This window comes from Homo sapiens, chromosome 12, assembly GCF_000001405.40.
Source record: "Homo sapiens chromosome 12, GRCh38.p14 Primary Assembly".
NCBI lineage: Eukaryota > Metazoa > Chordata > Mammalia > Primates > Hominidae > Homo > Homo sapiens.
This window is the reverse complement of record NC_000012.12, coordinates 131,292,341-131,308,079: the sequence shown is the minus strand read 5'-3', so window position 1 is coordinate 131,308,079 and position 15,739 is coordinate 131,292,341. Positions and strand designations below refer to the sequence as shown.

General features: G+C 54.0%; 2 long non-coding RNA genes and 2 pseudogenes across 2 annotated transcripts, besides 1 other annotated feature; 3 read left to right on the top strand and 1 right to left on the bottom strand.

The window, feature by feature from the left end:
* On the top strand, positions 8,329-8,425 carry RNA5SP376 (RNA, 5S ribosomal pseudogene 376; annotated as a pseudogene).
* LINC02415 (long intergenic non-protein coding RNA 2415) lies at positions 10,108-11,967 on the top strand. Its single transcript, NR_135045.1, has 2 exons — positions 10,108-10,495; positions 11,044-11,967. It is a non-coding gene; the product is annotated as a long intergenic non-protein coding RNA 2415 (long non-coding RNA).
* Positions 10,295-10,995: an enhancer, noted in NCBI's record as "H3K4me1 hESC enhancer chr12:131781630-131782330 (GRCh37/hg19 assembly coordinates)". NCBI's record gives its function as "activates a minimal SCP1, AML or CMV promoter by ChIP-STARR-seq in primed H9 embryonic stem cells {active_cell/tissue: H9 hESC(primed)}" and the evidence as "EXISTENCE:reporter gene assay evidence [ECO:0000049][PMID:30033119]".
* On the bottom strand, positions 10,985-12,689 carry LOC100128002 (uncharacterized). The gene has a single exon (XR_158870.6). It is a non-coding gene; the product is annotated as an uncharacterized LOC100128002 (long non-coding RNA).
* On the top strand, positions 14,904-15,495 carry RPS6P20 (ribosomal protein S6 pseudogene 20; annotated as a pseudogene).

The window sequence follows — 15,739 nt, the reverse complement described above, 5'->3', positions numbered from 1 at the left end:
GTGTGTATAAAAGCCATGGTGAAAGGGGCACTTATTTCCATCCATATGGATGTATGGATGTAAAAGCTTAGAGACCCTCTGGAAGAAGAGACACCCCCACTCCCACCAGGCCACAGTGTTTTTCTGGAAATGAATAGGAATGTGGTGAGCAGGAGGGAAAGGATGGGGTGGAGTCAAGAATGACTTTCACTTTAATCTTCAAATGTACAGTTGATATTTGCATTGATCTTGAATCCACGTATGGGGAAAAAACAGCAAAAACAACATATTTGCTCTAGGGGATGGTGTGTGGCTGGGAGATTAAGGAAAGGGTTGAGGGCGGGGCAGGAGGAGATGGGGTTTGAAGGATCAGGCAGGATTTACCATCATCCCTTTTTAGTAGTTATTTGAGGCATCACTTACACTCAGTAAAATAACAAATCTTATGAGTACAGATGGACGGGACTTCACATATGTACAGGCCTTGTGACCGCCCCCAAGTTGAGGCACAGACACCACCCCCAGGAAGCCCCTCATGCCCTTTCCAGTCCACACTCAGAGGTCACTTTTCCTGTGCTCTGTTTCCACACAGTCTTGCCTGTTTGGAAACCTAAGTGACAGGAACTGGATATAAATGGAATTCTGTGACGTGTAGTATTTCATGACTCCCATTTTTTTCTCAACATAATTTCTTGAGATTTCTCCCTAAAACTGTCTTTCTCAGGAGTGATCGTAGAGTAACGTTGCATTGTATGAAGATTCTGCTATTTGTTTCTGCATTTGCCTGGATTGTTTCTGGGTTTCACTATTTTGAACAAAGCTATTGTGTCATTCTCGTGCAGTTGTTTGTTGTGGACATATTTATGGATTTTTCTTACGTTCCCAGGAATGGATTTTCTGGGTCATGGGATTGTTCTATGTGTAACCTTCTTAGAAGCCATCAAAGAGGGTGCCTTAGGGGTGCACCATTACACCCTCCTCCACAAAACCCATCCAAGAGGGTGTCTTAGGGGTCCGACATTGCACCCTCCTCCACAAAACCCATCCAAGAGGGTGTCTAGGGGTGAACCATTGCACACTCCTCCACAAAACCCATCCAAGAGGGTGTTTGGGGGTGCACTATTGCACACTCCTCCACAAAACCCACCAAAGAGGGTTTCTTAGGGGTGCACCGTTGCACCCTCCTCCACAAAACCCATCCAAGAGAGTGTCTTAGAGATGCACCATTGCACACTCCTCCCCAGAAGCCATCCAAAAGGGTGTCCTAGGGGGGTGCACCGTTGCACCCTCCTCCACAAAACCCATCCAAGAGAGTGTCTTAGAGATGCACCATTGCACACTCCTCCCCAGAAGCCATCCAAAAGGGTGTCCTAGGGGGGTGCACCATTGCACACTCCTCCCCAGAAGCCATCCAAAAGGGTGTCCTAGGGGGTGCACCATTGCACACTCCTCCCCAGAAGCCATCCAAAAGGGTGTCCTAGGGGGGTGCACCATTGCACACTCCTCCCCAGAAGCCATCCAAAAGGGTGTCCTAGGGGGTGCACCATTGCACACTCCTCCCCAGAAGCCATCCAAAAGGGTGTCCTAGGGGGTGCACCATTGCACACTCCTCCCCAGAAGCCATCCAAAAGGGTGTCCTAGGGGGGTGCACCATTGCACACTCCTCCCCAGAAGCCATCCAAAAGGGTGTCCTAGGGGGTGCACCATTGCACACTCCTCCCCAGAAGCCATCCAAAAGGGTGTCCTAGGGGGTGCACCATTGCACACTCCTCCCCAGAAGCCATCCAAAAGGGTGTCCTAGGGGGTGCACCATTGCACACTCCTCCCCAGAAGCCATCCAAAAGGGTGTCCTAGGGGGTGCACCATTGCACACTCCTCCCCAGAAGCCATCCAAAAGGGTGTCCTAGGGGGTGCACCATTGCACACTCCTCCCCAGAAGCCATCCAAAAGGGTGTCCTAGGGGGTGCACCATTGCACACTCCTCCCCAGAAGCCATCCAAAAGGGTGTCCTAGGGGGTGCACCATTGCACACTCCTCCCCAGAAGCCATCCAAAAGGGTGTCCTAGGGGGGTGCACCATTGCACACTCCTCCCAGCTACACACAGGAGTTGCAAGGGCCCCACTTGGTCTTCAGCAGGAGGTCAGCTGTTCCAATTCCAGCCATTCTTGTGGGCATGGACTGGAGTCTCACTATGGTTTAATTTTTACTTCCCTGATGTCTGGCGATGCTGCACAACTGTCCCTGTGCTTATGGGACGTGTGAGAATCCTCTTTTGTGAATTGGCTAATCTAAATTTTTGACCAATTTTAGTCATCACATTAAAGCGTCTAATTAATAGGGTCTCAGGTCACACATTCATGATTCTAAAATCTGGACAAAGCAGAGCGTAGAGAACACCTTCTCTGCTCTGTGAGTTTATCTTTGCTTAAAGCCGTGTCTATTTAAGTCTGCGTAGCCCCTTCCTTCTCCCAAACCCAGTTTCCTCTTGTGTGAAATAGCGCAGGCCATGACTGAGTGCTGCTCTTCTGCAGCATCTGGGCAGGTGTGGCTCCCCTGGCTGGGACTTGGAAGCTTCTGGAGGCTCTGGGTTGATTCCTTTGCCTGTCAGTCAGTTTGCTGAAGGGCAGGATTGGAGGTGGGAGAGGCACTCGGCCTCCAGCTGCAGAGGGAAGCTGCCCAACCTCCCTGAGATGCCATGAGGCTGAATCAGGGGAGTCTGTGAGTCCTTCAAGGGGTGGCCACGGTGCAGAGAGTTGAATTCCAGGAAAAATCCCCTTTCCCCCTGGCTCAGCCAGAGGGCAGGGGCCTGAGATCTCCGGGTGTGTGCAGTGCTCAGCCTTTTGTGCAGTCAGGGATTCCATGGCCCCCTCGCCCTTCACAGGGAGGAGCAGACATTTGACTGAAGGTGTGAGTAGAGGGTCGCTGGGATGGAGGTGATGGAGACACTGTCCCTGGGTCCCCGCTGAGAGATGTGTCCCATCCATGGCCCTGTGGCCGGGTTCATTGTGGGGTGATCCCCCGCCATGGTGCCTGCACACTAAACACATAAACTCCTCTGCCCAGGATGCCACAAAGCCTATCCCCTCATTTTGGAACTCAGCACCTTCTCATCCCTGTCCTGGGATTCAAATTCATTGCTTACAGAAGTTCAAGGCAGAGAGAGATATGGGTAAGGATAATGGCAGTTTAAGCTCCCATCTCTGAACACATTTGACATTGTAATGAGGCAGGTTCAGCAATACACTAGACGTGATTGATATCGACAGGAGAAATTCCCGTCTTCCAAGCCAGCTCTGCACTCTTATCCCAGGCACCGCATCAGCAACAGGAAAACAAAGAGAGGCACAGGCAGCCCAGTGCCACATTCTGGGGGTGAATCCACTGCAGGAAATGCTGCCACAATTAGCTGAGAAACCTTACAGGTCTGTCCCTGGGAGTCGACCGGGGGCTCTGCAGAGAGGACCCTGAGCAACAATCAGTTATGGGATAAAAGGGACTCTCCCATGGCCCCTAAGCAGGTACCTCTCACAGTGAAGGAAAATGGGGAATTTGAGCCCCTAAAGCTCTGCTACTCTGGGACCAGCAGCATGAGCATCACCAGGAGCTTCTCAGAACTGAAGACTCTCAATCCCTCCCTCCACATCTGCCTCACCTGTGGATTAGAGCCCTGAGTGGGAACTGGACCCATGGCTACCCAGAGTGAGGACAACCTTCCCCAGCCCTCCTTGTGGCCTCATGTGACCAAGTGACCCATTTCTGACCAATGCACTAAGATAAGAGGGCCATGGGAGCCACTTCCTGGTCATTTCCTGACAGAGGTGAGCCCTCTCCTCCTCCTCTCCTCCACTTCCTCAGCTGTGAAATAGGAATGATGATGATGTTGATAATGGTGATGATGATAGTGATGATGGTGATGAGGATGATGGTGATGATGGTGATGATAATGGTGATGGTGATGATGATGGTAATGATGGTGATGTGATGATGGTGATGATGATGGTAATAATGATATTGACGATGATGATGATTGTTACAATGATGATGATGGTGGTAGTGGTGATGATGGTGATGATGATAGTGATGATGATGGTGATGGTGATGATGATGGTGATAATGATGTTGATGGTGATGATTTTATGATTATGATGATGATGATGGTGGTGGTGATGATGGTGATAACGATGATGGTGATGATCATGGTGGTGATAATGATGACTACGACGGTCATGATTGTCATCATGATGATGATGATGGTGATGATGATGATGATGGTGATGGTGGTGATGATGATAATGATGATGGTGATGGTGGTGATGATGATGATGGTGATGGTGGTGATGATGATAATGATGATGGTGATGATTATTGTGATTATGATGATAATGATGGTGGTGGTGATGATGATTATAATGATTATGATGGTGATGATGGTGATGACGCTAATGATGATGGTGATGATTATTATGATTATGATAGTAACGATGGTGGTGGTGATGGTGATGGTGATGATGGTGGTGGTGATGACGATGGGATGATGGTGGTGGTTATAATGATTATGATGGTGATGGCAATGGTTATGGTGATAATGATGTTGATGATGGTGATGATCGTTATGATTATGATGATAATGGTGATGGTGGTGGTGATGATGGTGATGATGGTGGTGGTTATAATGATGATTATGATGGTGATGATGGTGATGGTGATGATGATGATGATGGTAATGGTGATGATGGTGATGTTGGTATCCCAGAGAGAGAAGAGAATGTGGTGAGATCATGACACGTCTCAGAGCACAGACAATCCCACCACAAACGCTGGATGAAATATACTTATTATTGTTATAATCATCTCAAATTATTAGGTATGTGGAGACATTCCCCTCCCAGGGGCCATCTCCCCTATCCTGGACTCCCTCTTTATAAACAGGAGCTGAGGTCCCCTATAGAAAACTTCCCTTCTGGTATTGCCCTCAGCAGCACGCCCTCCATAGAGCATGTAAACTTCCCCCAGACAAGGAGGAGACACAGGTGGGTCCCCTGACCCTGTACCAAGGGGGTCAGTGTGCCTGGCATCCTGGAAAGAGTGATTAATGCAAGGAAACTTGTGTCCCTGAAATAGGCCATGATCAATGGCATTTGAGTTGCACTTGGCTAAGGGATTGGAGAATGGACATCAGATGGCAGGTGCTGAATCATTTTACTAATGAAGCCTCTGCCTTGCCCACATGATGAGAAGTTTTCCATGGGAGGCTTTGGAGCCACTGCTTTTTTTTCTTTTTTCTTTTTTATAGAGATGGGGGTCACTATGCTGCCCAGCTGATCTTGAACTCCTGGCCTCAAATGATCCTCCTGCCTTGGCCTCTTAAAGTGCTTAGATTACAGGTAGGAGCCATCATGCCTGGCCCAGAGCTACTGCATTAAGGGAGGTGCAGCTGGTCTCCCCAGGCTGCTGTCTGCACATCTTAGTACATTAGCGTGGAGCTGGCAGGCAAAAATGTCACACACCTGCTGAATTCACTGTCTGGCTGATTATTAGTGAGGGGGGACATCTTTTCTTTTGCTTAACTGTTTTTTGATATTCCTTTTCTGTGAATTACCTGCTCATAATATCTGCTCATTTTTCTATCGCTCTTTCTTTCTGTTTGTTATTCATTTATGGAAGCCACTTAGAGGTTGCATGTACCAAACTGTTGACTATTAAGCATGAGGCAAACGTCGCTCCTCAATCTGACCTTGCCTTTTCACTTGTGTGTGGTGGTGGTGTTTACAGGAAGAGGTCTACAGTTCATCGCAAGGCTCTAGAGGGAATCAGGAAGTGCCAACCTGAGGTATGCCATTTTGGCAGCAGAATTCTTTTGAGCAGAAAGCATTGGAGTTCCTAAAATTCTTTACCTGCCTAAAACCAGAGCCTCCCCCAAACAACTCCATTGTCCTAAGTGTCTCCCCAGGAACAACTGTAATCTTCTCTTCTTGGAGGGGAGAAGCCCCCCCACATCCCGGCAGACATTGTCACAAAGGACCATGTCTCCCATCTGCCCTCCTGAGGGCCCATTTATCTCTCAATAAAGTCCTTTGCGTTTCCGTAAGTGCGCCTCTGCCCTCCCTACCCACGTTAGGACGAGATGTGAGCTCCAGAATCTCACTGCTCCTCTGGTATTTGCTTATTTCTGGGACACCCTCATGCACGTTAAGTTTAAAATTCCAAATGCATGCTTTTTTCCTGTTGATTTTTTGTCTTTTTTTGAGACAGTTTCACTCTTGTTCCCCAGGCTGGAGGGCAGTGGCGCATCTCAGCTCACCGCAACCTCCACCTCCCAGATTCAAGTGATTCTCCTGCCTCAGCCTCCCAAGTAGCTGGGATTACAGGCATGTGTCACCATGCCTGGCTAATTTTGTATTTTTTAGTAGAGACAGGGTTTCTCCATGTTGGTCAGGCTGGTCTCGAACTCCCGACCTCAGGTGATCCACCCGCCTTGGCCTCCCAAATTGCTGGGATTATAGGCATGAGCTACGGTACCCAGCCAATTTCTTCCTGTTAATAACTTTCATCTGTTTAACTCACAGGCCCCCAGCCACTGAAGGTGAGAGAGTAGAGGAAAAGTTTTCCTTCCCCTACAGTTCTTTGAAATTAGTTTTCTCACTTAAACCTCCACTCTGCTCTCCCAGCAACCAGGGAAGGTTTCTGCATTAAATTTAGTTCAGGTCAAGATTGTAAAAGCAGAAACCCAGGAGGAGAAGAACGTCTGAGCAAAACAATCTTCCTAGCAGAGTTTCTGTTTTAATACATTTCCCCAGGAGATGGGTTTCAGCTGGAGGCCCTTTTAACCAAGTTGATCTTTGCCCAGAGGGTGGGGGGAGCTCCGTCCCTGCCGGGTTCTTTGAGGCTCTTCCCAGTGTGAATTAAAGGGTTGGGGCTGGAGCTTGGGAAAATCTCCTGGAGGATCCACAGAGCCGGGGGCTGCTGCCAAGGTCTGAGGTGCGGCCTCTGGAGGGGAGCCCTGCAGATCCCAGCTGCCCTGGGCTGGGCCTCCTGCTCTGGGCCGTCCTCTCTGCTGATCCGCTGGGGTCAGACCCCGGTGTGGGTGGAGCAGCCACAGGACACATGTGGGTCTCGAAGCCTCCTCTCCTGTGCTCCTGGGGAACAAGTCAGCAGCAGCCCCTGCTCTTTTCCTGCCTGGGCCACCATCTTCAACAGGTGAATGCATCTCTTTAAAGCCTGGGATGGAGGATAGAGGCTAGGGGATGGGAATGGGGAGGGGACTCCTGGAGTCCCTGGGAAGGAGGAGGAGGAGGAGGTGGCCCTGGCCTTCAGAGCCCAGTGAGGCCCCATCCCCTGTGAAGGCTGCACTCACCCTGAAGTGTGCCTGTGCCCGAGAGACTTGTTTCCACGTCAGGGTCTCAGGCTCCAGGAGCCTCCAGGTGAGCCAGGAAACAGGAACCTGTCATGCAGGGGATTCCCCATCCCAGTTAAATACTTCCCACCCCCAAGTCCCGAGCTGGCACTGGGGCCTCCTGTCTATGTGGTGGGTGTTCTCAGGAGGGAAACCCTCCTCCACTTCCCTGCCAATCATACACTTTTTAAAAACAAATCCACAAATTAAAACATTTTGACAAGCCGAGGAGTGATACACCTAACGCCCAATGAATGAGCAAAGAAACGTGAAAAATTCATGCCTGATTTCACTCCGTATCACAAAAATGAATGTGTTACTCGGGCTCATACATTTTAGAAAGGAATTTTTGCTAAAAAACAAAAATTGCAACCTTCAGAAATGTTGTCTGCTCCCACGGCTCTGAAACAAAAGCACACCCTTCTCCAAGCAGGAGAGAGCCCAGCTCTGCTCCCCGGGGACACCCAGGGCCTTCACCCCAAATAGCGGATCCTGTGGGACCCATAGCACTGGGGCCCTGGGGCACTGGGCACTGGGCCTGCGTGGATTTCCCAGCGTTGCTGGAATTCCGTGCTTCGCAGCAAACTCCTTCATGCGGGGGAAGCCGGAGGAGAAGGCCCAGGGAAAATGGGTTGTAGACAAATGACAGGCGCCCCGTCCTGGGGGAATCAGGAAGGGGTCCTGCAGCCCCTGGTGTGGCCCTTTTCCCATGCACAGTCCGGGCCCCCCACGGCTTCTGCAGGACCCACCTCAGCTCCGGGTCCAGGCTGGGCCAGCGCTCTGTCTCCTCAACGGTGAAACGGGTTGCTCAACCCACTTGCAGGTTGTTGAAGTTCAGGCCTTATCCTCGGGCACAGTCGGTTCTGGAAGCCACAGTCTGCTGCCTGCAAATGTGCTCCTCAAATCGCCTTCCCACCCGCAGCCCCTCAGCCCACCGTGGTACCAAGTGGCCAAAGTCTACGGCCATGCCCCCCGAACGCCTACGAGCTCATCTGATCTCGGAAGCTAAGCAGGGTCGGACCCGGTTAGAACTTGGATGGGAGACCAAATGGCGCCAGCGCTGGGCTTTCTTCCTCAAACCCCACGACCACGACAGCGCGATAAACAGGGACCCTGTTGGAGGCCACGTGGGTCACAGGCCTGCACCGGACACAGCACTTCGGCGAAGGCAATGGGGATCCTGATTGGCCGCCCAGGGCCCTCCCAGAGCCAGACGCGGAAGGGGAGGGAGCTCTCCCGGGAGCCTCACGCGGGACACTGAGCACAGCCCCTCCGCGCACACGCGGTTATCGATAAACGCAGACGTGACACGTTCGTGGGTTCTATTTCCCTGGAGGGCAGCTGGGACTGGTGTGAATTCTCCCGTCTCACCCCACAAATCCTAACGGGCACCCGCGAGCTTTCTCGTCTCGACTTTCACACGTAAATTGTGTTTTCTTTTTAAAATGACTCGTAGCGCGAGCTCCTGGCGTCCGTGCCAGGTTGGAATGGAGACGCTGTCCCGGGGGGAGAGAGGGGGACGGTTGAGAATTCTCTGGAACCCCCAGCGGCGCAGACACCCACCCGCGGCTGGACGCGCGGAGCCCGCCCTGGGCCTCCCTCCCCGGCTTCAGGTCCCCGCCTCGGCCCTGCCCACCTGGGGCTGCGCTCCCTGCAAGTCTGCGGCCCCCACGCGGCCCTCGGCCCCGGCGCGGGTCTTCTGCGGACGCCTCCAGCCAGCTCCGGGTCCCTGCGCGGAGGACGCTGATTCGTGTCGTTAAGCGGGTGAAGCGGGTGTAGACAGAGGTGCGTCCTGCCCTCCCCACCCGCTGCCCCCGCAGCAGCCACCGAGCCTCGACCGGCGGCTTCCGAATGCACGAAGTCCACGCTCCTGCCCGGGACCCTGAGTCGGGGCCTGGTCCACGCGCTGCCGCCGCCTCTAGGGCCCTGACCCCTCCCGGGCACAGCGGGCCCGTCCCCGGAGGCGATGCCGGCCCGGGTCTGCCCTGCGGTTCCCCCTCCCGCGCTGCTTCCTGCCCGCAGTAGGGGCCGCTCCTCACCGCGCAGGCCCCGCTCAGAGGAGCCCCAGAGCTGGAGAGGCCCCCGCGGCTGGAGAGGCCCCGCCGCCCCCCAGATGCCCCCGGGGCCCTGCCCGGTTCTTCCCTTCCCAGCCCCGACGCCTCTGGCTTCACCTCTTCCCTTCATTTCACGGATCCGCTTATTTCAGGGGAGCTCCAGGAGGGCAGGGATTTTGTCCGTTTCTTTCACTTTTGGATCTGCAGAGCCCAGGACAGCACCTGGCCCGTAGTAGATGCCGCAAGAAACGCTTGTTGAAGGAAGGAAGGAACGAACCCACGAGCATTGCAGGAGGATTCCATGAAAGATCAATTCATCCCACCTCACAGTAATAGGCACCCTGTTTCCTCCCAGCCCCGAGATTGGAGAGTTTGTTTTCATCCTCCTGTTGTCTGAACACAGCACAGAGCAATCCTGAGACACAAAGCAACGTGCCTTTCGAAATTTTTAATAAACATGGAATCTTGCTATGCTGGCCAGGCTGGTCTTGAACTGCTAGCCTCAAGCGATCCTCCCTCCTTGGCCTCTCAAAATGTTGGGATTATAGGCGTGAACCACTGTAACCAGCCTCAAGACAGACTTTCTAAGACACAAGATTCCGCGTGTCAACTGTATCCACGGAAACCATTCCTTAGTTTATTGTCACCGCCATTCCTAACTCTGATGTGAAAATCCCTGCGTTCATCAACATAACCCAGTTAGGGTCGCACTCATCACGGGGCCCCCATTGCCTCTGGCGCACCCCACGACTGACATCTGCGGGGCCTTCGCGCTAGGCTTCGAGTTTCAGCTTCCGCACCAGGCCTGCCTTTCTGCAGGGGCCAGGGTGGGGGTCGTGTGCTGATTGGGCCCTCTGAACCGCCACCGCTGCAGAGGGGCTGTTCCTTCTGTCACATCCCTTGTGCCCGAATCCACCCTGTGTCTTCTCTTTTCTCAGCAGGACATTTTAAAAGCCCAGACCCCCTCCTTACAGAGCAAATGTCCAGGCTTCGGAGGTCACTGTCACATCCCAAGAACCCCCTTCACCAGGTGCCACTCTTGAGACTGGACTGAAGCCCCCTGGAGAGGTGAGCTTGGTGGGCTCTGTAGGTTTAGGGAACTTTGAGGTTCACTGCCCTTAGGAGGGAAGCCCTCTCCGGTTCTCCGCAGTCCCCACCGTTCCCTATCGTCACCCCTGGGCACCTGCACTCCCACGGTTCTGCCTGGGCCTTGGGGGCATTTGAGCCCTGGGCCCATCCTGAGTTGGTTTGGAGGCTGGGCTGTGTGGAGCTGTGGAAGGCCCTGGGCATGCGGCCAGCTCACTGCTGGGAGCCTGGTTTTCTCACTGTCCAGCTGTGTGGCTCGGGGGCCCCCGTCTCTATGTCTCAGTGATGACAACACTGGCCGTGTGGGTCCTGGTGGGCCTTGAGTGGGTTCCTCTGCTCAGACATGAGGTGCTTAGACCTCACCCTAGCTCTGCCCTGTGACCTTGGCAGGTCACCCGGGGTCACTTTCCCATCGGAGTGGGGGTGGGGACTGGAACCAGCCACTCCCAGGTCCCTCCTCTGAGGTTGCTCTTGGCACTGGTCCTGGGGACAGGGCTGCAGGGGACTCTGGCCTCTCTCTCCCCTCTCAGTTCCACTTGCCTTTGTCCTGCTGCCTGAGGTGAGGACATGGACGGCCGGGTACAAGACGGGGCAGGCAACCTCGCAGTGGTGGTAACCCTGTGCATGAACCCTGGGCCTGGCACGTGGACCTCCTGTGACCGTCCCCACAGGCCCGTGAGGCTGAGCTTGGCACTGCCCAAGACCACACAGTCCATGCGCGGTGGAGCTGGGGTCCAGGCTGCCCACCAGGGCAGTGACTACAATGGTGGCAGCAGGGGACGGTCACCGTCATGAGCTCAAGCCAGGCGCTGCACTGACCTTGAGGGAGGGCTCCATGCTTCCCCTTCCCACAGCTGCAGTGAGGCCTAGCAGAGCAGGGTCGGCTGCGGGCTTGAGTCCTGGGGTGCCCCTGGGCTGACGGGCCCTGCCTGACCTGCTCCTCCAGTGCCCCAGCCCTGCCCCACCCACGTCCCCTCCTCTCACTGCCCCCTGGCCCACTCCGCTGCGGTCTCAGTGCCTTCCCAGGCTGGGCATCATCTGATGGGAGGAAAATGAGGGCCCCAGACTCTGTGTCATCCTGGCAGGACCCCTCCCCTCCCATGGCTTTGAGCCCATGAGATGGCCTTGGACAAAGCGGCAATGGGCCCTTCCTGAGACACAGTGCGGCCATCTACTGGAAAACTGCCCAGTGTGACTCTGATGACTGTGATGTGAATCCTACAGCAAAGTTGAGCAGTGCGCAACCTGGGCTACTGCACCTGGCAGCCCCGGCTCCTCCTCGTCTGCCTCTTCCTGCTCCTTCATTCTCCCCCAGAGCTCTAATTGTCACTGAGATTTTATGTTTCATTTAACAAATGACTGTCTCCCCGCTTGAACAGAACCTCCATGGGGGGAGGGAAGAGTGTCTGTTGTATAAATAGTTGTATTTCAGTGCATAAAACAGTGCCTGCCTCAAAGGGAGGACTCAGTCAATATCTGTTGAATGAATGAATGAATAATTGCCTGGGTCAACGAATGAATGGCTGAATGAATGATTTCTCCTTTCCCTCGGCACTGTCTGGAGTCCCCAGGACAGGCATGGGCAGCAGTCGCTGGTCTGTGGCCTGTCCCACTGGACTTGGGGTTCTCATGCTTGGTCTGGGCGGAGATCACCCACCAGGCTCCCAGGTCGATCCTCTGCTCATGGGAAGCTGCGTCCGGCCCAGCTGCCAGGAGCTCACTGCAGGGTGGAGGGAAGAGCAGGGACGATCTGCGAGCGCCTGAACAGCGCACAAGAGCCGAGGAGCCGCTGCTTAAAATGCAGGCGTTGAGAGGAGTTTCGCCTCCTTTTTTGAGTTGAATATGAGATTTCCGAGCAGCCATGACGAGTTGGGTTGGTGGAAGTGGGGAGTCCGTTCCTCAGTCAGATGGAGGAGGGGGTCCCCTTGGATCTCCTCTCGGGGCTCGAACCCTGATACTTCAAGGTCTCTTCCCACCTGCCCTTGGTGGATCTGGAAAGCTCCTGGGAACAGGGTGGGTCTTCCTTGTTTTAAAGGTTGTAAGTTGAGAGCACCTCACATAACTGCCTGGGGCGGCTCTGACGGGCCTCAGTCTGCTTGTGATGTCACACAGGAAGCCCCTGGGGACTGGGCCGCTCAAGTCCTCCTGGGTCAGACCAGATCACTGGGCCTGTGGGTTCCGCAGTGAGTCCAGCATCGTTTCCTGTGCAGTGACCCAGGCCGGGTCCCCATGGGCTCTGACTAGGGGACAGTGGGACTCGGGGTTGGGGGGCCTGCTTGAGTCATGGCTTCACTGTCCACTGTGACTGGGGACCCCCAGGGGGATTTCTGGGGACGCATTCACCTACTGCACTGGGGTTTCTCTTTCAGAACCACAACACCCTGGAAGGCAAGAAATGGGGAGCTGCATCTGCATCCACAGGGTCCCACCAGCCTGGAACATCCCCGCTGGTCTAGAATCCCACCCCACACACCCCGCTGATCCTGGGCCCGTCCCTGTGACCAGGAGACGGAGTCCAGGGACTCCCCAGGCCTGGGCCACGCGACTGCCCTAAGAGCCTGGCATCAGGGAGCAGTGCTGTGTGCACCCCCAGGTCCACTGAGAGTAGGGAGGGGGCTTCCCCACGGGTAGGTGGGGATGGAGGGTGGTCCGAAGATCAGGAGACGGAGCCCCGCCCCTCTTCGCAGGTGAGCAACAAAAGCTCTGAACAGTCAACTGAACTACTTAGGGCGACTGGCGGGAATCCAACCAGGTCTGCCTGACTGTGTGTCTGCTTGTGTGTCTCTGCTGTCTCTCCATCTATCTGTCTGTCTGTCTGCCTGTCCATGTGTGTCTGTCTCTCATCTGTCCACCTATCTGCCTGTCTGTGTATCTGTCCGTCCATCTGTGTGTCTGCCTGTCCATCTATCCGTCTGTTGTCCATCTCTCCATCTATCTGTCTGTCTGTCTGCCTGTCCATGTGTGTCTGTCTGTCATCTGTACGCCTATCTGCCTGTCTGTGTGTCTGTCCGTCCATCCATCTGTGTGTCTGCCTGTCCATCTATCCATCTGTTGTCCATCTCTCCATCTGTCTGTCTGCCTGTCTGTCTGCACAGCCCCTGACCTCACACTCAGGCTGCGTTTGCAGCAGCCGTTTCCCATCTAAGCATCCGTGTCCTCCTTGCTGAGTTGGAGGTAGGAAGTCACATTGACATTCTGTGTGTCTGTGAAGGTAAATAAAATTATAGACACAGGAGGAGCAGACTGTCTGCTTCTTAGAGATAATGAAATGACTTCTGGCCATGAGCAAAGTGGACACTCTGTCTCCGGGGTCAGCAACCCACCTGCTGGGCCCCAGTCCCTTCTGTGTCCTGGGGTGTGAGGCTCCCAGGAGGCCATGCTTGGTAGAAAAGGGTCCTATGAGTGGGCCAGGGCAGCCAGGAAGCCAGAGCCACCCAGGGAGTGCCATGGGGGCCACTTAATCATGGAACTCGCCACAGAGGGGCTGGAGGAGCTGCAGAAGAAATGGTGGGGCAGTGACCCCGAGTTAGGCATCAGCAGGAAGCCACTGCCATCCAGGGCTGCAGGGGCTGGGGAGGGGTGAGCACAGCCAGGGGCTGGGCGGCCAAGTCCAAGGCACCAGGCACAAGCATCCCTGTCCTCTCCCTGTGGAGCCACAATGGCTGTGCTTAGTTCCTTCAGCAACGTGACGTGACGGCACAGTGAGACGTCGCCCACCAGGGAAGCCCACAGAGACTCAGCGCCCAGCGACTAGGGGGCTGGTCACGGGGGCACCTCTGCTTGGCGCGCACAGACATTCCAGGCCCCCAGAAGGAAACGGGCTCAGGATACCACGTGGTTTCCACAGGAGTTTAGACACAGGAGCTCCTCGCTATTGAGGGAGGTTGTGTGTCTGCGCAGGGAACTGCTGCAGCCAGATTCCAAGACACCAGCCAAGGGCACCCTCACCAGCAGGCCTTTCCCAGGGCCATCGTCTCAGACCCGCCAGGTCACTCTTTCTGGGCACTTTCTCAGGAGGTTGCTCCAGTGCAGGATGGAAGCACAGAGAGTCCGGGGTTGTCACATGATCCTGGCTGAGTGTTTAGACCTCCAGAGAGGAGAGCACAAAGGCGGAACAGGAAGCCCAGAACTGCCTCCCGACAGAAACACCAACTCACAACAGCAAGGCCCAGAAGCCTTTCTGAGGCAGCTACAAAGCTCTGCGAATTGATACCAAGTGTAAGAAGGTGTAATCTGTGACACTGAGGACATAAAGCAGGGGGTTGTAGAAAGGATAGAGGTTTTGCATGCAGTTGGAGTTGTTATCAGCTTAAGGTCGATTGTTATGAGATGTTTTATGCAGTCCCCATAGTAACCACAAAGAAAATACCAACAGAAGAGCCGCTTCAAGATGAAGCTGAACATCTTCCCAGCCGCTGGCTGCCAGAAGCTCATTGCAGTGGACGATGAACACAAACTTCGTAGTTTGTATGAGATGCCTGTGGCCACAGAAGTTGCTGCTGATGCTCTCGTGAAGCATGGAAGGGTTCTGTGGTCTGGATCAGTGGTGGGAACGACAAACAAGCCTTCCCATGAAGCAGGGTGACCCGACCCACGGCCATGTCCACCTGCTACCGAGTAAGCGGCATTCCTGCCATAGACCAAGGAGAACTGGAGAAAGACAGTGAAAACCTGTTCGCCGTTGCATTGTGGATGCCAATCTCAGCATTCTCAACTTGGTTATTGTTAAAAAAAAAAAATAGGAGAGAAGGACATTCCTGGACTGACTGATACTATGGTGCCTCGCTGCCTGGGGCCCAGAAGAGCTAGCAGAATCCGTAGACTTTTCAATGTCTCTAAAGAAGACGACGTCTTCTTTAGACGAAGAAGAAGACGTCTAAATGTTGAAATGTTGAAATGTTTCAAATGTTAAATGTTGAAAACCCTTAAACGAAGAATGTAAGAAACCGAGGACCAAAGCACCTACGACTCAGTGTCTTGTTTTCATTTTTTTTTTCTATACAGAGTCTCACTCTGTCGCCCAGGCTGGAGTGCAGTGGTGCGATCTCGGCTCACTGCAACCTCTGCCTCCTGGGTTCAAGTGATTCTCCTGCCTCAGCCTCCTGAGTAGCTGGGACTATAGGCGCCCGCCACCACCTGGCTAATTTTTGTATATTTAGTAGAGATGGGGTTTTACCATGTTGGTCAGGCTGGTCTCAAACTCCTGACCTTGTGATCCCCCTGCCT